Raw genomic sequence first — 27,101 nt, 5'->3', positions numbered from 1 at the left:
CCTTGATTGACAAAAACACCCCCCTCATCTTTGCTGAATTTGTGTTAGATTACTTGTACAATGCAATTTTCATGATGAGAATTAAGGTAAACATGGGGCTCAGAGGCTGACAGATAAATTGAGTGATTTTCAATTATTAAATCAAGATCAGGAACATTCCTGGACAAACAAGCAAAGAATGCACTTGACGAAGCCTGAAAAGAAAATGCCCCCATTGTCACTAGGAAGGTCAGACCATCAAGATAAATGCTTGCATTTTAGGTTCAATCAATGATTCACAGAATGACTATGCCAGAGGCGACTCCACTCCACCCACACCTGTAAATTCAGACACATCCCTAAACATGTGAGGATCTAGACAAGTGAACTTGAGGATAATCCAATGCTTTGGCACCAACTGGCTTCCCTCTTCTATAACAAAACAATCCAGGTGGGAGAGCCACACACAAAGATGCCAGTTGTCTAGAACTGACCACAGTACCCAGCTGCCTGGAGGGAGCAGAGCAAGGAGGCTCCCAGTTCTGCTGGGTGTCAGCCTCCATCTTGGAAGATCTGTCTGAATCCTAGGGATAAAATGTCACACCAGACACCAAGACCTGGGAATGAAAGAAAACACTGATGATATCGGGAGGTTTTTTGTCGGACATCTGCTGAGCAGTTAAAACCAGGAAACTGAGGATACACTGGTGTGGGGTGATGGTGATACTGACCATCATCATCCAGAGAAATGAGAGATGTGAGCCTCTGTAAGCAGAGGGTGACTTGGGATTAGGCTCTAATGCTGAGCCCAGCCCAGGAACACCTCGGAGAGTTCAAAGTGAGGCTATTACAGCATCTTACGCAAAAAACGAGTGGAGCACCTTAGAGAAAGAGCGTCATTAAAAAGTGGCTCCTGCCAGGTCAGCTTGGAGACCTGGACCCAAGAGAACTCAACCTGACAGAAACAAATTATTTAAACCAGTGACATCAGGACAGAGGCTAAAGCATATTGCTTCAAACTATTTGCTTATGAACTACAAATAAAAATATAAATCCATTTATCACCCATTCTGAGGTAGGAGGTGGGACTCGACTCAAGACTTGGGGCTCAGACACTGGACCAAACTGAGGACTAGCTAAAACAGGGTTCAGGTGGAAGCAGCTTTCCATCAGACACGCCCATCAGTGTGCCACTCCAGTTACTACTGCCATGGCAACACCACGGAGTTACTGCCCCTTTCCATGCTAATGACCTGGTGACCCAAAAGTTACTATCCCTTCCCTAGAAATTTCTGCATAAACCACCCCTTAATCTTTGCATGCAATAAAAAGTGAGTATAAATATGACTGCAAAACTGCCCTGAGCTGCTACTCTCTGCCTGCAGGGTAGCCCTGCTCTGCAGGAACAGCCACAGGTCTGTAACACCACCTCTTCAATAACAGCTGTTTTCTTCTACTTCCAGCTCACCAGGGTTCTTTCCTGGGTAAAGCCAAGAACCCTCACTCACGGGCTGAGCCCCATGTAGGGGCTTCCCTGCCCTGCATCAATTCCACCACTGAAAGAACAAAAGAGGGGGCATGCCAGTCACATTTCTATTAGTTAAGGACTGCCTTGTTCCAGGAAGGTTGCTGACAGCTTGTGGATTTCCTCTCTTGGAAATCTTACACAGAAATGAAATAGATCCCCATTTATTTGGAAGTGAAAAAACATTTTCAAATATTTTAAATCTTTCCAGGGGAGGGAAGGCTCCTGTTTTTAGGTCAATTTGAAGAAAAATGAAAGTGTATACAATATTTAGTGCCCACTACAGATTCTAAATCACATTCTAGGTTACAAACTTGATACATAAACTATGGCTGAGTTGTAAGGTGATATTCACACATTATAGTCCATCTTTATAATAATTACTACTTACAAATGAAATTTTGAACTTTTTGTTATTAAAAAGTTAAACTCTAGAAATCTAATCACTTAGTATGAGCCAATTTTTGAAAAAACGATGAGTATTATGATAGAAGAACTGAGGTCTTGGGCAATAGAATTCTCCATGGCCATTCTGCTCAGAAGGCTGAGGGCAATAAATATCATCACCCCTCTCCCCAAGTCACACACAAAATACAAAAATTTTATGAATACAAATTTCACAAAGGTGTCACTGCCCACACACCACAGTGGGAGGTACCCATGTGCCTACCTGCCCACGCTGCCCCACCTTCTTCTTTGCTCATGGAACTCCTCTTTAGTGGATTGTTCTCCACACAGCCAGGTCCTTCCTACGGGCTCCAGTCTAAACCATCACAGAGCTCATGGGGCTTTCCTCTTGCTGGTGTTGGCTGAGACAAAGTACATGATGGAATTCTGGCCAATGAACGTGAGAGGAAGTTTGCCAGGGGCTTCCAGGAAAGTCTTAAAAGGGGGCAGGAGATAGGGACATTCCCTTTTCCGCCTTTGATCATTGCTGTGTGTCTCCACGCAATGCCTGGAAATGTGGTGGTGACTCTAGGACCATGAGGGAAGCCAACACACTTAGAAAACTAAATGGAAAACAGGAGGAGTCTGAACCCTTGAGGACACTACTGAGCCACTCAATTGACAGAGCCTGACCTCTAGCACTTGGTTATGTGATCTAATACATGTCCTTATCATTTAGGCCAGTTTATCTTTTGATACCTGTAGCAAAAATATCTGAACTCATAGAATCATTAAGTGTAGGAAGCAATAGGTTAAAATCCTTTTCCTCTACAATGGAGCTGCAGCACGCATGAATTTGAGGTATGTAAATTCACCTGTAACAATCTCTTGTGTTATTAAATAATTCTCAAACAGACTATTATACCCTGCACCGACAGAATTATACATACAAAACCAAGTGTACTGTAGTGTGGATATCAGAGCTGGCTACAGAAAATAACCTGCTTGGAATATGATCATTTGTTCCTGTGATCAGGCTAGCCATGGGCTCTATTCCACAAATTAAAATTTTAGAAATACAGAATTCCTTGGAACATTCCTGCTTTTGTAAATGCCTTGGACAGGCAGTGTAGGTAAGACTGGCTAAGGTTCCTGAAATATACTTATTATTATCATTAGCCTCTATCTCACTGGTATGGAGCCAAGTAGCAGGGACAATAATAGCCAAGATGACCACAATGGCACCAAAGCATCTAATGCAGGGGCTCTAGGCTAGAGGTGACTTAGCACTCCTCCTGTCTCCTGCCTTCCCCTGCCCCTCTAGACACTGGCAGTCTCTGGAGATATTTTTGGTTGCCACAGCTGTGGGGGCACACTACTGGTACCCAGTGGGCAGAGGCCAGAGATGCTGCTGAACATCCAACAACGCACAGGACAGCCCCTTCCAATAAAGAATGTTCTGCCCCAGAATGGCAAGAGTGGTGAGGCTGAGAAACTCTGGTCTAAAGTGATATGACTCTTTCCACAAGCCAGACACACACAAAACTTCATATCATTAACTGAATAATGGAATCTTCTGTATTTATTTAGATGTTGTTTCTATGTGTTTTGACTTTTTTTGTCTTTTTTCCCTCTCTTATGGTGCTGACTTTTCTGTGTGTTTTAGGTCCAGAAAAATAAGACAGTGTTTTCAGATTTTGACAGAAACTGATAAATAAATTTGGGGCATGCTCCAAATCTGCTGTATCTGAATGATGATTTCCAAAGCACCAGCCTGCCATTTACCTGGCACTTCTACACCGAAGACAGCCCATTCCTTAAAACCATGTTTTGCAGTCCCAGCAGGTCCACCTACCTGCTATGATGTCTCTTATTTTACTCAGCAGGGAAACTGAGTGTGCCCATGATGAACAAGCACAGTCCCCAATAATACAGCTGGATAGTTCACACTCTAGTCATAAAATTGATGCAAGTGGTGAATGAGTCAATAAAAAACACATTCCATCTAAGCCAAATGAACCTAACATAAGACTGTAAATCTCCATCAACCAGGCATCAACTCAAGAAAAGCTATCAAACATGATGCAGTATCTTAATAAATGTGAACATAAAATCTTTCCCCTCCCACCTCCACAACCATCTTAAGTCTCCTTTACTTAAAGTGCAGACGTCCAATTCCATATGCATTGCTCCACTTGGCCCTTTCTGTGCCATCTCTGCTTTTTCAACACTGGCTCCTAGCCAAGTGGCCTGGGCATGTTAGGATTGTGCACAATGCTGAGTGCCTGGTACCGCCAGATGGGCAGGGCCCAACTCCCAGGAACCCCATGCCCACAGACTACAGTGCGAATTACATCTACTGGAGCTGTAAGAACATGCAGCCATGCCAAAGGAAAGGGCATAGCTAGAGGAGAGTGGGGATGAGGTCTGAACTTGGACAGCATGTGCACTCAAGGAGCCACGAAATCAGATGGGCCTGAGGAGTCCAGCCACCCTCGATGGTGGCTAGCACAGACCGAATGGCATCCAGAGCCTGGCTAACCTATGTGGGTCAGAGGAAAACACTGCCAAGGTCCTCATGGAGCCCTGGGGTTGCCCTGACTTAATTCTGGGGAGCGGCCTGAAGAGACTGATGTCTCTCATCTCCCACACTGCACAGACCCGGGTGTGACCCAGCCACCTGTCCTCTTCCAGGACAGAGCGCAGGGCTGGAGCTGAAGGAGGAATGCCACTGACTACCCAGCCCCCACAGCTTCCCATCTGTGTCTCCACAACCACTCCAAAACACCTTCACAGTCTGTAGAACATATCTAAAATAAAACTTAAAATAGGAAACAAGCCTGGCTTTGAAAGTGGGAGGAAAAAAAACTTCCCACAAGAAAACGACCAGGCCCAGACGGTTTTACAGACACAGTCTACCAACATTCAAAGAACAGATCGTTCTAATCAGATATGTTCTTCTAAAGCAACAGAAAAAAGAAAGAGATCCTCCCAACTCATTAATTTTATGAGGATAATATTAATTCAATTACAAAACTAGATAGTAATAGAACAAAAAAGGAAAATGATAAACTAAGCTCACTTCTACATAGATACAAAACTCCTAAACAAAGTATTAACAAACTAAAATCTGGCAAAATGATGATATACTATGACCAAATCTGACTTTTGCCAAGAAAGGCAAAGATAGTTTAACATTGGAAAATTAATCACTACATTAACAAGTGAAGAGGGAGGAGGACCATGTGGCCACATGAACAAATGAGCATCACTCAGTAGCCACACATGGTAAATGCCCTCAAGAAACTAGGACAGAAAAAAAACGTGCTCAAACCTATTAAAAAAGGATTTATTGAAACAAAATAAACTTATAGCAGTCACCATCTGGATGGTGAAACAATAGAAGCATTGTCTCTAAAATTAGGACAGTCTGTTCGCGCCACTTCTGTTGGCATTATACTAAAGTACTCGACAGTGCAGTAAGACAAGAAAAGGAAATAAAAGGCATAGCGGTTGTCATGCCAGAAGCAAAACTGTCATTAATCTCAGATGGCATGACTATCTACATGGAAAGTCCAAAGGAATCTGCAGGTCACAGATTATAAAACATTAGGGTGTTTAACAAGGTTGCTGGATATAATATCTAAATTAATGTGTCTTAAGGAAATCATAATTGAATCATACTTTACATGTTAACAAAAAAAAATTTTTTTTGAGACAGGGTTTCACTCTGTCGCCCAGGCTGGAGTGCAGTGGTTTGATCTCGGCTCACTGCAGCTTTGACCACCCAGGCTCAGGCAATCCTCCCACCTCAGCCTCTTGAGTAGCTGGGACTACAGGCACACACTGCCATGCCTGGCTAATTTTTGTATGTTTTTTTTGTAGAGAGGGATTTTGCCATGTGGCCCAGGCTTGTCTCAAACTCCCGGACTCAAGCAATCCACATGCCTTAGCCTCCCAAAGTGCTAGTATTACAGGTTTGAGCCAAGCTGCTTGGCCAAAAAACTTTTAAAGTTACCTGTTGGGAGTAGAAATAAGAATCTGCTGATAAAAACACTACAAATGCAACAGAGATGCATTTGAAGGAAAAAGGTTAAAACAGAATAAATTAGACAGATATTTCCTGAAAATCTTATGAAGGTAATTCAGGGACAAAAGCTAAGTTTATCTTCTCTAAGGAAGGAGGCCTACTTTCGAAAAGTTTTTCTGCAGGTAGGTGCAAATGAGGTTACCTAGTTAGTATTAAGTATATTTTATGTCTGATCTGCATTTATGATAGTATGAAATGTTCTCTTAACAGTCAATAGTAGAAAACCAATTGGTCATTTTCCTCCCTACTAAGTGATACACTTTTTCAAAGTTACACTAGAGTCTTGAAAATAAAAATGATTACAGGTATGGCCTGAGTGTGGCATATACTCCACTAGATCTAGTGCTTTACAAACCAGCCATGGTCTTCATGCAAATCCCAGAAGAAACTCTGATGTTATTTACATGTAAGAAATACATCCAAACAGTTCTCCTTTTATACCAGTGAGGCTGATATCCAAGCTCTGAAGAAAATCATTATCTGTTTGTTCTGTAAGGAATCTTAAAAACTGCACCCCTTACTGCCTCAGGCTTTTAACTGAGTAAATGTAGCTGTATTTTGATAAATGGTGATAACAATATCAGACTCAAGAACCAGATTTCTAGAATGTCAACAGATTTCAATTGCCTAAAATGCCCCAACTCTGACAAAATAAATTATTATGACAAAATGATTAAAAATGCCTTGCCACAGAATTACATAAAAGTAAGTGTCTTAAGTCACAGCCACCACCAGAGGCTGGACTGCTGTCACCAAGGGACAGGAGGGGCATGCCCAGTGGGGAAGCAGCAGCTGTCCCTCTTCTGCCATGTGTAGCAGCAGTACCACTCGGAGGCTTGACTCACCCCTCGCAGTCTCCAGGAACTCTTCATCTGGAGAAAGAGCTGAATCCACAAACTATGCACTGGTAACCACAAACAACGCCTGTTTCCACAACTTGGGTCCTCAAAATCACTAGGTTTGCCATAATGTGACATTCTACTAATCCCATTTCATGTAAAGGCTCCAGCCATTCCAGCCACTCCAACTGATGGGACAGTTTAGTGGCTAATTCCTCAGATGCCATATTTTAAGGACTCACCTACAAAAACTGGCCTAGGCCAGGCCTTTAGATCTGCACTAATAAGAGGAACTCTGCCTAATATACTTTTAGGAAATAGGTTAGGGTAGGAGGAGATGTGGAGAAATACATGAATAATCAAGATACACAAACACACACACACACACACACACACATATATATATACACACACACACAGAAATATACACAAAAAATAGACAATCCCCAACTTACAAGATTATTCAACTTTAAGATGGTGTGAAAGTAATAAGCATTCAGTGCACTCCTTGACTTAGGATGAGGTTATATCCTGGTAAACCCATTGTAAGTTGAAAACATACAAAGTCAAAAATGCACTTTCAACTTCCAATATTTCAATTAATTATGGCTTTATCGAAACAAAACCTCATCCTAAGTCTAGGAGCATCTGTACAAAACGGGGAGACCATGCTCCCCCAAGGAAGGACAAAGGTTTGTAGCTCTCTGCTCAGGGCAGAAGGTGTGGCAAGTCAGGCTTTTGGTCCAGCCTCCAGCCAAGGCAGAGGACAGAGCTACCACTCCCCTGACATGCCTAACTCTGGATTCTTATGTGGGCCAAAGGGAACATAAAATAAGTTCTCCTTAACTTAGAGAGGGCTAACTAATAGCTGGTGTCTTTCTCTTGAACTACAAGCCAATCTCTTTTTAAGAATGTTATGAACCTAGAGGGGTGTGTGTGTGCATGTATATGTATAACATTATATTAGATAGAACCATACAAAACTGAAGTATTTGTAATAAAAATGGTCAAAAAGCAGCAAATTCATATGGTTCAACCTTATATAATCTATATAGCATTGCATAGTACACATTATCACAATTATATACTGGCAATAATATAGATGTATTACACAGATGATTGTTGCCCTAAAGGCAGCTCTTTGCTCCACAGTTCTAATTTTTCCAAATGTAAACATGTCTCCCCCTCATTATCCCATACATCCTCCCTCTGGAATCCCAGGCTCTATCATCCCACACGGCCCCACCAAGTGCCACGACTTGCAGGGATGGCTGCCTCTGGTTGCCACACTGGCCCTTGAAGGTCGCTGCCACCTGGAGGTAACAGCACCCTATGGTCACACAGTCCTAGTGGTTGTCTTTCAGAAATATGAAAGAATCCTCCAACTAACTTAACTAATTAATAAACATAGATCTCCAGCTTTTTATCCAAAATAAATATCTTTAATAAAGTAATATTACTGGAACCTTCAAAGCTCATTGTTCTTCCTGAATATTTTTAAAGAAATAAACCCAAGATTGAGCAGGATAAACTGGTAAAGACTGGTTAAGAAAAATCTAACTCTAATCTTAAACTGAACCTAAAAACATTTGGTTTTCTTTGGCTGTTTCCCAAGAGGCTCCCAAACCTGTTTCCTTTTGAACCCAGACAGAGCCCATCTTTTAGCTACATTTTCCTAAGTCTTTTTACATTCTAAATCTTTAATCCTGGACTGTTAAATACCATATTTTTTTTCAGTTTAGAGGAGAATTCTAACTAATTTCTCCACATCCACTGGCACCCTCTGTAGACTGAGTTTTTAATTAACATGCAATGGCTGGTTAATGAGAAGTTCTAGCTGATCACATTTAGCTTAAGCTCTAAGTTTTCTGAGGGGACAGTCCAAAAGATTAAAGTAACAAGAACTCTTGCAATCAAAGACCCAGAAGAAAATAAACTGGTTCCATTACAGAAGATGAACCACAGTTGACCTTTGAATAACACAGGTTTGAATTGTGAGAATCCACTATGCATAATTTTTTCAATAAATATGCTGGAAAATGTTTTGAAGATATGAGACAATTTGAAAATTTGCAAACTGTGTAGCCTAAAAACATGGAAAAATTGAGAAAAAGTTAGGTATGTCACGAATTTACTATGTATAAACTATACATAGATACTAGTCTATTTTTGTCACTTACTGCCATAACATATACATAAATCTATTATAAAAAGCTAAAATTTACCAAAAACTTATACACAGACTGTACATGGCACCATTTGCAGTCAAGAAAAATGTAAACACATGTAAAGATGCAGTATTAAATCATAGTAGCTGCATCAAACTAACTGTGGTACATACTGTACCACTGTAATCATTTTGTAGCCACTTCCTGTTACTACTATGGTGAACTCACCTGTTGCAAGAATCCACTTAAAACACCATGTGATGCTAATTATCTCCCGTGAGCAGTCATCTCTCCAGTAAATTGCAGATTGCAGTAAAAAGTGATCTCTCCTGGTTCTTGTGTATTTTTCACTGTGTTTAATGCAATAACTTGAACCTTGAATAACACTGTGAGACCCAAACAAAGTGCCACTAATGACACTGGAGGTGCTCCCAAGAAGCAGAGTAAAGTTACAACATTCCAAGGAAAAGCTGAATTGCTTGACTGCTTGATGTGTACCTCAGATTGAGGCCTGCAGCTGCCGTCCCCCACCATTTCATGATAAATGAATCCAGCATAAGAACCATTGTAAAAAAAAAAGAAAATTCATGAAGCCATTGTTGCAGCTGTGCAAGAAAACATGAAAACCTTACCCTTTTTGCAAAATACAAAATATGTGTTAATTGACTATTGATGTTACCAGTAAGGCTTCTCTGATCAACAGTAGGCTAGCAGCAGGTAAGTTTTTGAGAAGTCAAAAGTTTTACTTGGATTTTCCACTTAGTGGGGAGTTGGCACCCCTGACCTCCACATTGTTCGAGTCAAGTGTACTCTTTTACCTAAATTGAAATTTACAACACCACAGGCTGGCCTATCTTACTATTTTTAAAAGACTGTGACATCTCCCTTCTAAAAACCTTTCAAGATAAACAAGAAAGAAAAAATAAAGCCCTAAGTGCCTCCGTCAGTTTAGATTTACTCCTTCTGTGAGTTAGCAAGCAGACCCTGGACAAGTCCATGGGCCTCCCGTGAGACCCGGCAGCCACCTGCGGGTGGCATGTGTCTCCTGGTGAGAGTTGGACCCCAGTGAGGAGGGGCCGGTGTGACATGATGCTGCTTCCCCAACCAGTCAGACCCCACGTGCCACAAACCTGAATCCAGACACACTGTGGAGCTTGAGTTCCTTCCTCAGTCTTAAAACATTATTTCCCCTTTCTGGGAAGTGGGGAAATGTTACAGCCTTTTCAAGGAGAGAATCCAAATGCTTCTGGGATATCAAAGGTTCAGATCCTGAACCAATATTTGGAGGAAGTGTGTGAAACAAACCACATGGGTTACATTTGCTGCAAAACACACATGGCTCTAAAATAGATGAAGAAGGTACCATTGAAACATGCTGGGTGCTGGTGAATCCAAATGCCTGAAAAGCAGTTTGAAGCTTCTAGCAAACCAAGAGCACAGCAGGATTGGTCTTTCCTTAGCACAAACTCAACAGTACAGTAAGGGGGTCCAACCTCAAATCACTCAATTTGTGTTTCAAACATGACATAAACTAAGCCCAAACAAGAGTCAGTGCCAACAACAGACTCCAGATACAACCAGAATATCTGCATGCTGGAGACTCAGCACCCGACTCCTCCCGAGATAAAGCAGCGCAGGACATGAACCTGTTGTTTGCCCAGAATGTGAAGCCTATGAATGACAACCTGACACATGAGCCTTTAGAGTTTATGGGAAATGTTTCCATGTGAGTCCAAATAATTTGTCACTAGGGATGCAAGTAAAACCAGCATTGCCAACTTTTGGTTAGTCACCATTTTATAGATTACATCCACAGAAAATCCCAGAGTTTCATTTTAAACAATGGTTTCCATCTCTTACCCCACCAGAATAGAAATAGTAATTATATGCTTTACTTTGTGACTTGGTTTAATTTAGCCTCCTCTTCTGATGTTTCTCAGTCGATGGCCATCCCACCCCAAATGCACCCGGTCTCGTCTGATGCTTCTCTGACCGTGAATGCTGTAGCCCAGTACACGGCCAGACACCACTTAGCAACCACTGCAGGACAGGGAGCTTACAGGGAGCCTTCAAAGGGCCACAATCCAAAGATGAAGCAGATATGCAGAAGAGTTCCCCAACTGCTAGGGTGGGTGGGGAGGCTGACTCAGCCTGGAGCACACCATCAACAACAGGGGTCCCAGTCAAGGGAGTGATCTGGGGGAGCAGGCACCCTTCCATAATGTCCCTGGAGTACAAGTTTAGGGACAGGGCTTGCTGTGTTCTGACCCTGGGGGAAATGGAGTGGGGGAGGGGACAGTGTATGACAGTAGTTGGTCACTACTTAGGACTCAGGGATGACACCCACTCGGGGTGGACCAATGGCAGATGCAGCAAAGGCAGAGCCCCAGCTGGCCCAGCCTGGTGTCCAAAGTCAGGGTTGGTCCTCAGGCTGTCACTGAGATACAAGCAGGGACAAGGCCTGCACAGCCTAGAATCTAGGAAAGGCCTGTGCACTGGAACCAGAGACTTCTTAAAAGCCCTGGACAATAGACATTCGTTCATATCACCAATGTCATATCACCAAACACAGGCGTTTGGCTGAAGGGGCAGGAGTGTCGGCACCCAGTTTCTCCTTGGGGTACTGAAGGTATCACCTATTGAAAGAAATCTTCTAGTTGAAATAGGAAATTAGTTTTGCCCTGAGGAGAAATTTTTTAAAGCTTCTCCAGGACTTGGATGATTCATCAAAACTAATCTTCTTACCTGCTCCTCATCTGAGAAAGACACCAAGAGAAGAGGCCTCAGTGCTCCTAAAGGACAGCTTCACTGTGTCCCACTTAGACGATGGCCTTGACCCTGGTTCCAAGCAGCACTGCAGGAGACAGTGTCTGTCAATTCCACCACCCCGGATCTGTGCTTCTTCAGAAGCCTACGTGCACAGGAGCCACAGAAATGAACAAAGGAAAAAACTACTTATCCTAACTAGTCTCCTCTACCTGTGAAGAGTAGAGTCAATGAAAAGTCCTAAAACTAGCTCCAAGGAGAAGGAAACTTGAAGAAAAAGAGAATTATCCCCATAGCAAGAAATCATCAGCACAGAATGTGGGGATTTATGTTAATAAAAACAGCTTGAACCCAAGCATGAGAACAAGAAGCCTGATGAAACAGTACCCCAGATCAGAGGAAATAAACAAACACACAAGTGGTTGGGAATGGGAAAACAAAAAAGGTTATTTGGTCCAAAAATACATATCTAGTACAGCCTTCTTGTTTCACAGGTTAGAAAACCAGGTCCTAAGAGGTTAAATGACTTGGCAAAATAATTTGCTCTGTGTTTACCTAATAGACTCCCCTTTCTCATCCTGCCTTTCCTTTGACTCTAACAATGATGAGGAAGGGTGGGTAGGCCTCACAGTCACCCCCATCTGACAGATGGTGAGCTAAAGCGTGCAGACCTTTGGGCCTTCCAGGTCACATCTCCAGGAGACGGTGGAGTGCAGGCTGGAGGTCAGGGCTCCTCAGGTCAGACCAGGCTCTGGATGAGAACCCAGACCGTGCTGGGCTCTGGGCAGCTCACCTGCGTGAAGGCAACAGAACATCCAAGAAGGACCACTCTATCCACAACCACGCTATGTCACAACAGGAGAGCAAAATGAGGGTATAACCTGCCCTTGAGGAGAGAACATCAAGAGCTGCCGAAGACACTGAATGGTCTTCAGTGCAGCCTTCAAGAATGGGGATAACTATATGAGCAGAGAGAAACCTTAGTCTAGAGAAAGTGCATGAACGAAGAACCAAGGTAAGTAAAAGAATGTCCAGGGAAGACCAATGCAGAAAAAAACAGCCTAAGGCTTGACAAAGGAGGAACGGAGGATACGGTCAGAAGATGAAGGTGGGGACGTGAACCCAGGCTAAGGATCCTCCAAATCCTTTTCTGTGCACCAGGGACCTGCTCCAGTCTCTGGACCAAAAACACTGAGCAGCTCAACCAATGCAGACACCCACAGCCACTACCATCCTGTCAGGTCCCTTCCAGGGTGGAATATTTCTAAAGGAAGCAGGAAGCAGGGCTTGCTCATCCAATCAAACTGGAGAATCAAGCACTCAAGCATGCATAGAAACCCTGGGAAGATTTTAACAAGAGGACATTTCTGAAGGAGCAAAAAGGTTTGGGGAAGAAAACAGCAACCTAAAAATAAGCCTTTTAAAGTCATTAGGTGCACACCTATAAAGTCAGACACTACATGAAACAGCTCCTGAAATGCCAGGAGGACACACACTAGACAGAAAGAACAATTGGCAGAGGAGCACAAAAAAAGGCATCTTTCAAAGAGTGACCTCTGCAAAAGATGCCCGGAGGGCCAGCCTCGGCAGGAGGCCATGGGAGGGGGAGCAGAGGCTATGGTGAGCCCCGGGAACAGCTCTCCAGCAGCCCCTTCTGGCCAAGGCCAAAGGAAGAAGGAAGGCTGGGAAAGTGGAAACCCAGGACAGGGGAGGGAAAGAGAACAGGTTAAAATGGTAATCCCATTACAGAGAGATCTGGTGACAGTCAAACCATGAGAGCCTTGCCAGATGCCTCTGATGAAACTGGTACCTTATGTGGCAAGGTAAGGAGGGGAGTCTGTACACGAAAGGATTTGGGGGAGCTGAAGGAAGAAAACATTCCGGTGTCCACACAGCTACTGGTAAAATGGGTTCTGCGTGAGCCACGTAAGGTCATGATTGTTCTATGCTTAGAGCAAGCCACAGTAGAGAAGTATCCGGTAAGCTTGTGGATCCCAAATATGTGCATTTGGGGGTTTTATTTCCACTGGGGACCTTTGCAGACACAGTGGGCCCACTGCTACTTTATTGAAAAGCCTGTGGGAGGGAATTACCTTAATTTATGGCATGTGTCTCCATTGTTAAGATTTCGTTTTCATATGGGATCTCGGGTCGAGGTCCATGCTGACTTATGATCCAATGATTCCATTGTAAATGAATAGCCAGCTAAAACACAAGTGAGAGAGACCACTGCGGGAGCAAGGACAGTCTTGCTGACATCTGATCATGGGATTAGAGTCACTACTTCATCCTGGCTTCCCCCCCACCCCCACCCCCACAACACACACACAGTACTTATGAAAATGATATCATATGTGTCCTGTGGTCACAAAGGAAAGAATTTCAAAACACAATTGCTAATGTTTATGAGCTTATTCTTGTGCTAATCCCTGTGGAGAGCACAAAAAATTACAAACAAGAACCCCTGGCTCAAGAAGTTTGGAAAGTGAAGACTTAATCACTGTAAAACAAAGATGAAACACTGGTAACAGTATGCCACTGAACACTAGAGTCCCTAAGTACTCTAAGGAAAAACCCATGCAGAATGGAGTTGATGAAGAAATATTTGTGGAAGAAGTTAGATTTTTTTTTTTTTTTGAGACGGAGTCTCCCTCTGTCACCCAGGCTGGAGTGCAGTGGTGCCACCTTGGCTCACTGCAACCACTTCCACCTCCCAGGTTCAAGCAATTCTCCTGCTTCAGCCTCCCATGTAGCTGGGATTACAGGCACGTGCCCCCCGACCCCCGGCAACCCCCACCCCGGCCTCCTGGCTAATTTTTATATTTTTAGTAGAGACAGGGTTTCACTATGTTGGCCAGCCTGGTCTCAAACTCCTGACCCCAAGTGATCCTCCTGCTCACCTCCCAGAGTGTTGGGATTACAGGCATGAGCCACTGTGTCTGGCCTGAGCTGATTCTTAAATAAGGTTTCTACCTAAATAAGCACAATGAAGCAGGAAGGACTTCAAGGCAACCCAGATACCGCCCTTGACCTAGAAAGAGGACTCAGAGTAAGAACAGCTCACGAGAAAAAAACCTACACCAGATCATGATTTTTTAAAAACACTGTCCTGACACTTCTGCTTCTGTCCCAGATGGGCCAACAGGAACCAAATTTATCCTCACACCATCACATTGAAGTTTAAAAAAAAAAAGGACAAGCCTAAGAAACAACAGTTGTTAAGACACAGGACCTCAGGCAACAAAGGCCAGGAAACAACAAGCCAGGTAAGCCCCATGGGAGCTCCATCTGACCACCTAGGGAGAGTTCACAGGTCACAGTATGAGAGGGAAACCAAGGCAGAGGCTGGAGGACTTCCTGAGTAAAGGAGATGGGGTTGAGAGTCCCGGAGGCCACTCAGCTAAAGCACTCAGGACACAGTACTGGAGAGGAGACAGCTGCACAGAGGGAGAACAGTGGAGTTGTGCAGAAGGCCCCTGGAGCATCCAGCTGAGTACTAAGCAGGTAAAGAAACTACACAAGGTCAGGAAAAGATTAGTGCTTACAACACCTGCGCTCACACAGGGCTGAGAATAGCGCCTGCTCCCACCACTCCATGGAGCTCAGGAAGGACTCACTGCAGTAGTGGGAAGAATTAGTCCTACTGAGCACTGCTCCAGACTCACCTAAGAAATCATAAGATCCAGACCCAAAGTAACCAAAGTGATTTCAAGTAACTTCACGAAAAATTCAAGTACTGTCATAGGAATACAAGAGTATCCAGTACCCATCAAGGCAAAAACTGTCTGCCCAACCTCCTTAACCCTCAAATGGCCAAAGGAGAGAACACAGGGAAAACGGGCCCATGATTCAACTCACTCACAGAGCCCCTTCCTGGCTCTACACAGGAGGCATGTGGCTCTGGTGGCACTATCATCCAGGGCCAGAGGCATGTCACCGTCCAATTACATTGGTAACACAGGCCACTGTCAGCCACCTGCATTTAAGGGCTGTTGACTGAGAAGTAGTACAGTGAATCTTTCCTAAGAGTATTCTAAGCTATAGGCAAGTCTTAATTATACAGTCATTTCTAAAGTTGATATAATTTAAAATAATTAAGGTGTTCACTTTTACATTTTATAAAGCTTATTATCTTATTAAACACCATTCTGTTTCATGTGGTAGAATTTTATTAGAAACACCAGACTTATGAATAATAAACTGACTGATTAAAGATTTGAATGAGAGTAATCTCTGAGATAATTTTAAACAAGGGACATATTTTACATATGAATTCTTAACAAAAACCATGGTCACTATTTACCTTCAAACACTGTCAATTAAAAAAAAAAGATCAGAATATGTTTGAAAGATTCTGAAAATACAATGTCATTTTTTATTTTCTCAAAAAGTCCATTTTTTATGAAATGATCTTGGTATAGATTTATTTCATAAAACTGAATTTACATAGTTTTAATAGAAAATTTTATTAGGATAAGACATGATACCTAACCTGTCAGTTCTATCAAAATTTCTGGTTTTAGGATGAATAACCTAAATTGATCTTCATAACTAGGGTTGACCACATGTTCTGGTTTGCCCAGGACAATCAAAGTTTATACCTCTTGTCCCCTTCATTCTCAATACTCCAAAATGTAGACAATATATCATAAAGCTGCCCTATTCATAATGGAAGTGAATACATGGTGCTCTCAGAAGTCAGCAAATCCTCAAATACAAGCAGAATAAGTTATTTACCCTAATACATTCTAAAATCAAAAATGAAATTAGGAGTAAGGCCCAAAGTTTCCAGATTGCCTGTTTTCTAATGGTTTTCCAGGCATTAAAAAAAAAGAACTACCACTCACAAATGAAAGTGTCCCACCCCTCCCTGACCTCTAACTTCTGGGCATGAAGGTAAGTTGGAATGTCCTGACTTGTCAGCTGCTTCCATTCCCTGTTTTCATCTGTCAGGTTCCCCAGGAGAAGTTTTATACCAAGTACACCTGGGTATTATAAATTGCATCATGAGAACATCTAATTTACACAAATTCAACTACCTGGCACTCTGATAAAAAAAGGATGACTCCAATCAGCCTAGGTATTCTGTCCCCCCAATTGCCCTTAGTGACCGTCTGCCCACAGGTGATGACCATGGAGGACTGCCCAACCATCTGGTGAGACCTGTGGACAGAACTTGCCAGTCTCAGACATAGCCATGACCTGCACCTTTAGGAGCCAGGTAGATGGTTGGTAAAGATTTTTCAACACCTTCCAGAAAGAAATGGAAGGAGGTATGGAGAGTAATACAGAAATAATGACCATGAGGGAGGGAAATGGCAACCATCTTTACCCAAACATGATGATGGTGATGAAGAGGAAGAGAAGCTGCAGCTCATTATATGATTATATCACCCTAGGTACATACCACATTGATTTACATAAACATGCACCTTTCTGTGCAGGGCTGCCAATATAAAACCCTGGGCTTTGCAAGGAATTTGCAAAGGGGGGATCATATTTATTGTGATCATATTTATTGATCACATTTATTGTGTACAAGTCTTTTCAAAGGGTCTTATTCTATAACAGAGGCTGGGAAATAACACGCTCTGTACATCAATATGCTTGCAAAACATGTGAAGACTGACAGTCTGAACTAGTCTAACAGCAAGCACTGTTGTCCTAGAGGCAGGCAGAGATAGCCCCAGAAGTTCTACAAAGAAGGGACGCAGCAGTGGCAATCGATTAAGTGGGGAGGAAGTCCAGTCTTGAAGCTGTATTTGCACTGCAAACCCATCGCTTTTACTTAATACAAAACACCTGTATTTTGAGCAGCCTTCAGAACTGATGGAGATGACAGGAGGTATGGGGCACTCCTGCTGCCACCACGGGGGCAGGTGGGAGGGCAGTATCTCCTTATGTTGACAACAGCGCTAGAAAAGATTGCCCTCTAAGCCAGTGCTGCTCAAAGAAAGGGCAACAGACCACTGCCCGCCCTGAACTGTTTGTGCAGATCTGTGAGGAGGTAAGTATAAAAATGGGAGTGTTTAGAAATGTTTACAGCAGTTCGTGGCCGGGCGCAGTGGCTCATGCCTGGAATCTCAGCACTTTGGGAGGCCGAGGCGGGCAGATCACTTGAGGTCAGAAGTTTGAGACCAGCCTGGCCAACACGGTGAAACCCCATCTCTACTAAATATACAAAAATTAGCCAGGTGTGGTTGTGCGTGGCTGTAATCCCAGCTACTTGGGAGGCTGAGGCACGAGAATCGCTTGAACCAGGGAGGTGAAGGTTGCAGTGAGCTGAGATCATACCACTGTACTCCAGCCTGGGCGACAGAGTGAGACTTTGTATCAAAAAAAAATATATATATAGATATATAATATATATATAAAATATATATATATAATATATATATAAAATATATATATTATATATATATAATATATATTATATATATATAAAATATATATATAATATATATTATATATATATAAAATATATATATATTATATATATAAAATATATATATAATATATATATAAAATATATATATACACACACACACACATGTTAATAATTAGCTATTTTACCTTCTTTATATACTACATCTTTGATCCAGTGTGTACTGTATACCCACGGCACATCTCAATTGGGACCAGGCACATTTCAAGAGGCAGAGAAATGGCCCTGTCTCCCCAAGCTCCTAACCATCCCCTAATGCATGGGCCCAAAGCCCCGCCCACTCATGGAGAGTTGGAAACACTGGCTGGTTCTGGAAAGGTGCCCCTCACGCCACACCCTCACCAGACACACTCACAAGGAAACCTTGATCCTGGGAGGCCTGTAAGCCAGTCGGAGAGGTGCCAAGGGACAAGTCCCCTCTACTCTTCTCTTCAGCTGATCTGAGAAGGAAAGGAAGCAGCATAAGGACATGTGTGTGAGAGAGTGTGTGAGTGTGTGTGTGTGCGCGCGTGTGTGTTACCATGTACTGTAAGAGTTTCTGCGGCAAAGCCCACTAGTCCAGAGAGAAAAGAACCAGCCCTAAGACTCACCCCTCAATAGTAGACAATAAGCCTGTAACACATGATGCCCAAAGAGTCTTTCTTGTGAACAGACAGCCACCAGTTCACCTTGAAAAGAGCCACTCACCCTTCCAGTTGATCAGTGCTCGCTCCCTTTAGAGTCTGGTGCTGCTGTACTGCACAGCACTCTATGGCCAGAGAAGCTGGCACATTTCCAAGACACCCACCACCACAGTTTGGTATATTGGGTAAGACCAGGTGCATATATGAGTGAGCACGCAGGGTGAGTCCCAGACACAGAGCACTCAAGGTACAATCTTGTCTACTGCAGTCCGTCCAGGGTTGCTTTACTTAAACAACAACTGTGTGTGTGGCTTTAAACAGCTAAGGAGCTTGTTTAAATGGAAAAAACCTTGAAATGAGATGAAACAGGTCTCTGCATTTCCCAGAATTGATGATCATGTGCTTTATTTATCGAACGAAACTCTCTTTCTGAATATAACTGGAATCCTGACCATGTCTAAGGGAGCTAAGGAAACGGGAGTCGTCTGAACGCTGCATCTCACTATAAAGACGTTAACTGCTTACAGGTGATGAACATCCAGGTGAAAAGTGGCAAGTTACAGGGGAACAGTGAGAGACATTTGGGGCCACCCAAGAGCAGTGGCATCCACCCCACACCACTGCTCAGGCCGAGGCTCACACTGCTATTCAGCCCCCTCAGCACACGGGGTCTCCAGGGGGCACACCTGATGGATAATGCCAACACTCAGAAAGGCTTCACCTGCTAAATTCCGAAACATTCAATTAAAATATGGAAATGCACCGCTAACGGGATTAAAAAGAACTCAATTACAATGGCAGCACTTCCTTTCAGAGTCTTAAATACCAGGACAGGGCTAATTACTGAGCACCGAGTTACACTGCTTCCTTAGATATAATTCACACAAAATGTTTTTCTGCCTAGAAATAAACTCCACTTGATCTGCCTCAGAGAACACAAGTAAAAGGTCATTTTCTGTGCTATTTTTTCAAGAGATTACCTATTAATCCAGCTCCTCAGAGGCAACTTTCTACATCACTGTCAAAGCAACGACTCTTGTTTTTTAGAGGTAGTGGGTTCTCCACCCTTAAAGAAGGCCCAATTTGCCTTTTTCTCTTCCAAATTCAACTTGAAATGCTGAACTGCCCACATTCAGGAGCAATCCCACCCACCTGACAGGTTACCTGTTTACTGGAGATCAAAAGATGATTCTATTCCAAAAGACACTACCATAAGAAGAAAGTCTAAAGCAACAGCAAAGAGATGATATTTTATTTATTTATGCCTTCTAATTTCAATGATGCTTTTCATAAAAAGGTCTTTCCAGGTGCCAACGAAGAGCAATCCCCCCAAACAAACCTCAGTGAGGGGAGGCAAATCTGGTACCATGAACACAGGGTGTGGCGCAATTCCTACTTCTACAAACCACACAACTGCCTTGGTGTAGCCCCTGACATAGAGAAAGGGTTGCAAGCTATCTGGTCAGTAATGACCCCAGGATTCCCCACTCTGAACCAACAACTGCTGAATCTTTGGCAACGAACCAACAACTGCTGAATCTTTGGCAACAAACCACACAACTGCTGATAGCTTTTTACTTATCATTTATCCTCTTTATCCAAATCTGAGTGAAAAGAAAACTGAGGAAAGCCACACTCACTAAGCTAATCCCCTTTTCCAGTGGAGTTCTAGCTAAAGGCTTGATCAGTCATGGCTCCAATAACACAGACAGCCAAAGAGAAAATGGACCACATAAGAAGGGTTCAAATGGCTTTGCATTCAGTAGGATACAGGCTCAAAAAACAGCAAATGAGCTTAGAATACATTGGGCTACAAGAGCAAAGTCTTCCATTTTTAGAACATATTCAAGATTCCAACAATGTTTCCAACCTTTGGCATTTTCTCTCTCCCATCTCCACATTCCATTCAGTCATTCTCACACAAAGCAGATCTCCTAATGCAGCCTGACCACCAAGACGGTGGAATCACTTCCGTCCAGCTCATCCTTCCCACTGAGGCCTCTGCCTCTGAGCTCACCATCATGTGATGAAAGGGCTCAGATTCTTCACCATCCTTTTGGGAAAGCACAGGAGTAAAGGCACTCACCCACCACTACCAGCTACCATGGTACCTGAACCTGGCGGTAGCTTCCTGGGGACCTTTTTGAACAACACCTAAAGCTGCTCTCATTGTCCACTGGCTTGAGTTCCAACCCTCTTCTCATATTAACTATGAATTAACTGTGAGAAAGGGTACAGGCAGGGGCGGGAGTTGCTGTGGGGATGCAAGTGGTTTTTGTGTTGGAGGGCACATTATGAATCCATGTCCACGTGTGAGGATAGTGATGAACTCAGATCAACCAATCTATAAAATTTCAAAATTACCAATTGTTAATTTGTTTCAAACTCTCCTTATCCCCTGATATCCTGAAAAGCAAAATTTTATGTTTTTAAACATAACAGCACTCCTAGTCTTCAAGTTCCTTAAAACAGCACCAATACTGTCTAGACCAGCTCTGTCTAGCCGAATTATCTGTGATGGAAATGTCCTATCTTTGCACTATCCAGTACAGAAGTCACAAATGGCTGTCAAGCATAAGAAATGTGGCTAGTGCAAATCTATTAAATTTGTAATTTTATTTCAGTTTAGCACTTGTGGTTAGTGGCCATGCTACTGGACAGCAAAGGTCAGATAATCTACCTTAACAACTGCTCTGAGATGGAAGCTTATTTAGTGTGACCCAAGTCTCCCCTTGGCAGAGTGTGCAGGCAAAATAGGAACCTGTATGCTTCCGGACATGCTTCCTGATCTCCTTCCCCTGCCCCACCCTCTCCTTGATCATCTTCCTCTGCAGTGGTGTTTCTCAACCTCAGCACTACTGACATTCGGAGCTGGATAATTCTTTGGGGTGAGGTCTGTCCTGTGCATTTTAGGATGTTGAGTAGCAACCCTGGCCTCTACCCACTAGAAGCTGGTAGGTAGCATGTCCTCCTCCCCTACTTGTGACAACCAAAAATGTCTCCAGAGTTGTCAAATGCCCCCAAAGGTGCAAAATGGGTGCGAACCATGGCTCTAGAGATAACTTTTAAAAACAACAGTGACAACAACAAAATTTCTGTTCTTAGAATTTCTGTCTCTGCTTATTTTACAGGATGAGGTTACCCTCCCATATTTGCCCTTGGTTAGGCATCTTTTCCCCACCCCTTGCACACACCCTTTTGAACCTGAGTCCATTGGAGTTCCTGTGCCATTTTTCTAAGGTTTCTGCCCATGTAAGCACATACACTGAATGCCCAGCTACCCTCCTGCTCAGGAGGCTCACTGGAGACCAAATGACCTGCCTGTAAAGCTACGAACTACTGGCTGGGCGTGGTGGCTCACACCTGTAATCCCAGCACTTTGGGAGGCCGAGGTGGGAGGATCACGAGCTCAGGAGATCGAGACCATCCTGGCTAACATGGTGAAACCCCGTCTCTACTAAAACTACAAAAAATTAGCCAGGCGTGGTGGCAGGCACCTGTAGTCCCAGCTACTCAGGAGGCTGAAGCAGGAGAATGGCGTGAACCCCAGAGGCGGAGCTTGCAGTGAGCCAAGATTGCGCCACTGCACTCTAGCCTAGGTGACAGAGCGAGACTCCGTCTCAAAAAAAAAAAAAAAAAGCTACCAACTACTTATGATTACTTATGTTAATCTACCCTGGCCAGTGTTCTTAATATGAACAGACAGCCAAAGACATCGAGATATGTGGGGGCACATCTAGAGCTCAAAAGAAAAAACTGAGTAGAATAAACAGAACTGACTCTGGGAAAAAAGCTACTTCAGCAAACAGAAATGAGTATTTTAAAAGTTCAGTTAGTATGTATCTTCAGAGAACATCAAGAAAACATAATACCCCTAAAAACAAAATAAGAAAACAGAAACAAAAAAAAAAACTGAATACTATGAAAAAGCAGAAATTATGATAAAAAATGAGTTCATGGATATTAAAAATTGCTTGCCAAAATTAAAAACTTAGTAGAAAGGTTGGGAGATTAATAATTTCAAGTTTAATAATTGCCCCATGGGGTTAAAAAAACAAATGGAAAAAGAATGGAAAATACCGAGAAAGTTTAAGAAAAATGACAACCTGGGAGGATTATCAACTGGTCTCTAGGCTTTCCAGAAAGAGAGAAGAGAAAAATAAATGGTGAGAAAATATTGAAAATAGCAATAATAGAAGAAGAGAGCTTCCTCAAGCTAAAGAAAAGGCAAGGGAATTTAGATTTAAGAAACCTAGATTACCAGAAAGGATGAAAATGGGACACATCTTCATGAAGTTTGAGGACACCAAGATCAAGACAGGTCTCCACACGACCCAGAAGGAAAAAAGAAAAGCTCCCATCCAAGGGTGAGAATATGGTCAGTAAATAGTCCTCATAGAAACACCAGAAGCAGAACCATGGCCTTCAGAATTCTGAAGCAAAGAATTTTGAACCTAGAATTCTACATCCATATAAACTAACAGTCAAGTGTAAGGACTATAGGGACATTTTCAGATTTATTTTTTAAAAGGCAGAAGATTTACATTCTGAACATTCTTCTAGGGAAAAAAATTATTGAAAATAGACTTCAGCACAAATAAAAAAGAAACCCAAGAAAGATGAAGACGGGGGTGGGAGGATCCACAAAGCTGACCCACCCAGCAGGACAGTGAAAGGAAGCTATGGACTCCTGCTGGATGGCAGCAGCCCAGAGGGCAGGTCCAGGCAGCGGCCCAGTCAGAGGCCCCAGGAGAAATGGGTCTCATAAAACAGGACGCATGACTGACAGGGAGGGAAACCTTAGGAATATGGCAAAGGCACATCTGCTAAGAAAAACATTAGTTTGCCAATTCTTTTAAAATTTTTGTAGACAGTTCCTTTTTTTTTTTTTTTTTTGCCTCATTCCAGATGTGATTTCTACTCCAACAGAACTAGTGATACCTTTGTGACCAGATTCCTATCCTATATGGCAGGCATGTTCTCTTCAGTATCCCTGCCTCAGGTGCTGACACAGAGACATCAAAGACCAACCTGCTCCTGGTCACTGTGTTGGCAGCCACAACACCTGATATTACTGAGGAGTTAAATCTGATCTGCAGTAGATCAATGTCTCTGCGGTCTCTAGTATGTACTCCAGCCTGGCTTTTCTAGCCTGCATCTAATCTAGATCTTTATTCTATAGCCCTTGCTAAATTAGCCAACTTCCCCAGTTAATTCTGGACTCAACAACTGCCCAGTCTGGGAAATGAGAAAAGGGGAAATTTAAAACAAGGATAAAGCCAAATAGCACCCAACTGAAGGGTTCAATTGTCAAGAAAATTAAAATTAAGGAAGAAGAGTTTATTACAGAGATGGAGGGAAGGGGGCGGGAGTACCATACACAGTTGTGGATTACTCAGGGATGTTGGAATGGAAACCAAAATCTTTCTTGGTTTGAAAAGATTATCAGTCCTTCCCTCTGTCTTGGCCTGAGGGACCAATAAAAGGATCTTCCCTTTCATCTTTGACCATTTTGAAGGATGTACAAATAGACGCTTTGTCTAAAATGGAAGTGAATAAGAGACTCTCTAAATATTTATTATGCAACAGATTAAAATGATTGTAGACAAATTTCTCCTGTCAACAATGATTAGGTTACATAGCAAGATTTTACAATGGACCTCAGGCATCGCACTGTATATTAGCTCTAAGCAAAATGAAAAACTCTAAATTATACTTTAAATCAACCAAGAACGTATTCTGTTCCTATTCAGAATCATCAGCTTACTTCATGCATTTTATCTGACAGAAGGACAAATCGGCAATTCGAGAGACTTAAAGAATTATTAGGTGATTCTTTAAAAGGAGAAGCCAAAGCAAGCACACAGAACATTCATGTGTCAGTTAGTATTTACTGAAAGCCTACTGCATCCCAGGCACTGGGGCAAGTCCAGTGCTCATTTCTAAGTGATGACCTGTGTGTCAGGCCTATGTCCCACGTGGTCCCATCCTACTGCTCTCCCCGACACTGAAAGGCCAGACAGACTCCCTGGGTGCATTCAGCTCACATAGTGCAATAGAACCAAGGGCTCTGGGATGTCCCTTGTCCTCCACACCACCCGCATTCTGTTGCTCCTACCTGCCCACAAGATTGCACAGGAGGAAGAAAAGGCATAATGCAAAAATTCTATTGTTGAGAAGACCTAACAAGTTCAAAACATATGGCCAGGGTCTGGCAAAGGACGTAATGAATCATTAGGAACTACCCTACTTAAAGAAGACCATTTCTATTATTTCTAAAAGACATTTGCTATATGCCCCCCTTATTGGGGTGCTTGTTAGTACATCTCTTTCATCAGGAGTTCATTAAACCAAGTCCGTTAGGTAACATGTTTTCTCTCCAGCTGTAAAACTGCCCTCCAGCTACCTGTGTCTCTGTGGCCCAGAGTGCCCACCCACAGACAATGCTAGGTTCTTGTGCAAAGCACCAGGCAGGGGTACCAAATCTCTGGCCTGAATGTGTGGGAACAGAACCCTGCCAATGCCCCCATAAACAACAACTCTCTGGGGCTCACCATCCCTAATGAGAGAATCCAGCACCCTGTCATTTTGTAATAAATGAAAAATCAGTTAACATGTGCTTTAGTATGTACTGACCATTGTGAAAAATATTCCAAAAACACTATGGGAAAACAGCAGTAGCTTTTTCACCTCACAGAGTCAGGCGCTACTCTGATGCCACCTCTCATCTGTAGTCCTTTGTACATAAAGTAATTTTACAGCCAGTCTCCACGCAACCCTGTCCTGTGAAAAGCCTTCCTTCCTCCCAAGGTCCCCCTTCCTCTGAGCCTTTGCTACACCCTCAAGTTCCAGGAACCTTAGTCCAAGTCTTCACTTCCCCAGACACCCTCCAATCGAATCTCAGTCCACTGAAGCCCTGACTGCCACCTCCACCATGCCACTGACGCCACGTCAAAAGGGTCACTGTGGGTGTGGAAGGTGTGGAATAAACAAGTACATATTGAGTACCATGTACACCACTCGGGTGACGGGTACACTAAGATCTCAGAATTCACCACTATGTAATTCATCCACATAACAAAAAAAATCCCACTTGTATCCCAAAAGCTATTGAAATTTTAAAAATCAAAAATTAAAAAAAAAAAAAGGTCACCACTATTTGCACAGGAAATTTTTCAGGAGGATATACAATGAGGAGAATTTTATTTTTTAATAATCTTCCGTCTTTGAATTTTCTAACCAAGTGGATGTTCTTTTGATTTTTAAAAACATCAACAGAGGCTACTGAAGACAGTCAAATGATGAGCCACTAAAAAGAACCTGTGTTTTAAGAAGTCCATTTAAGAAATGTTCTCTTGAGAAACAAACAAATAGTAACTTTCCAGCAGAGAAACCTGACTGATACCATCTTGACCAAGTGAGTGATCAAGGTCAGCATCAGTAGTCATGAGACACATCAATACCATGTGCCCTGACATGGCACACCAAGGACATCAAATTCCCAAACTAAGGGACATTCTAAAAAATAACTGGCCTGTGTCTTCAGAAGTATCAAGATCGTAAGACTGGAGGAGGCTGAGACACACCTAAATGAACATGGGATTCTAGATTGGATTCTGGACCCAGTGGGACAATGGCAATATTCAAATAAGGCCTGCAGATTCATTATTAGTTAATGCTATGTTACCAACAGTAACTTGCTGGTTTTGATCACTACTACAGATATGTGAGATCATTAACATTAACACTTCGGGAAGCTGGGTAAAAGGAATATGAGAACTCTTCTGGTCTATTTTTGCAACTTCATTAAGTCTGGAATTATTTCAAAGTAAGTTTAAGATACATATGTGTACACACACGTACACACACACAAACACACACATGATCACTCTTGACTGTGTGGCCAGCAAGCCCAATGGTACTTTCCAAATGCTCACCTCCTCAGCCTCTTACAGTGAGACAGCATGGAGCTGCCCTTCTAGAAAGTCTCTCCCACTAGGCTTCCAAACTGAGGTACTTCCCTGGCTCCTCTTCCACTTTATAGCCATCCCCACACAAGCTGGGCTCCATCCTCCCTGATGACCACCTCTAACAGATGACTTGCCTCAACGCGGGAGATCTGACAGAAACTTGAAGGCCGGACCTCCCCATGACTGTCCTGCTGGCATCACGCGAAAACCCCAAAGCTGCCCCTGCCCATGTCCCTGTTAGCCTGTTCAAGGCTTGCTGTCACCTCAGGGTCCTTCTCCACATCTCCCACTTCTCTGGCCTTCTCTGTT

At 43.0% G+C, this 27,101-nt stretch overlaps 1 protein-coding gene across 1 annotated transcript in view, besides 1 other annotated feature; it reads right to left on the bottom strand.

The window, feature by feature from the left end:
• DTD1 (D-aminoacyl-tRNA deacylase 1) overlaps positions 1-27,101 on the bottom strand; it is a 178,591-nt gene that overhangs the window by 40,182 nt on the left and 111,308 nt on the right. The window lies entirely within an intron of this gene.
• Positions 26,671-26,818: a silencer, noted in NCBI's record as "fragment chr20:18680289-18680436 (GRCh37/hg19 assembly coordinates)". NCBI's record gives its function as "represses an EF-1alpha promoter that drives an FKBP-Casp9 reporter gene in an ReSE screen in phorbol 12-myristate 13-acetate-treated (for megakaryocytic differentiation) K562 erythroleukemia cells {active_cell/tissue: K562(+PMA)}" and the evidence as "EXISTENCE:reporter gene assay evidence [ECO:0000049][PMID:32094911]".

This window comes from Homo sapiens, chromosome 20, assembly GCF_000001405.40.
Source record: "Homo sapiens chromosome 20, GRCh38.p14 Primary Assembly".
NCBI lineage: Eukaryota > Metazoa > Chordata > Mammalia > Primates > Hominidae > Homo > Homo sapiens.
The sequence above is the reverse complement of the archived record's forward strand: the minus strand, read 5'-3'. Positions and strand labels throughout refer to the sequence as shown.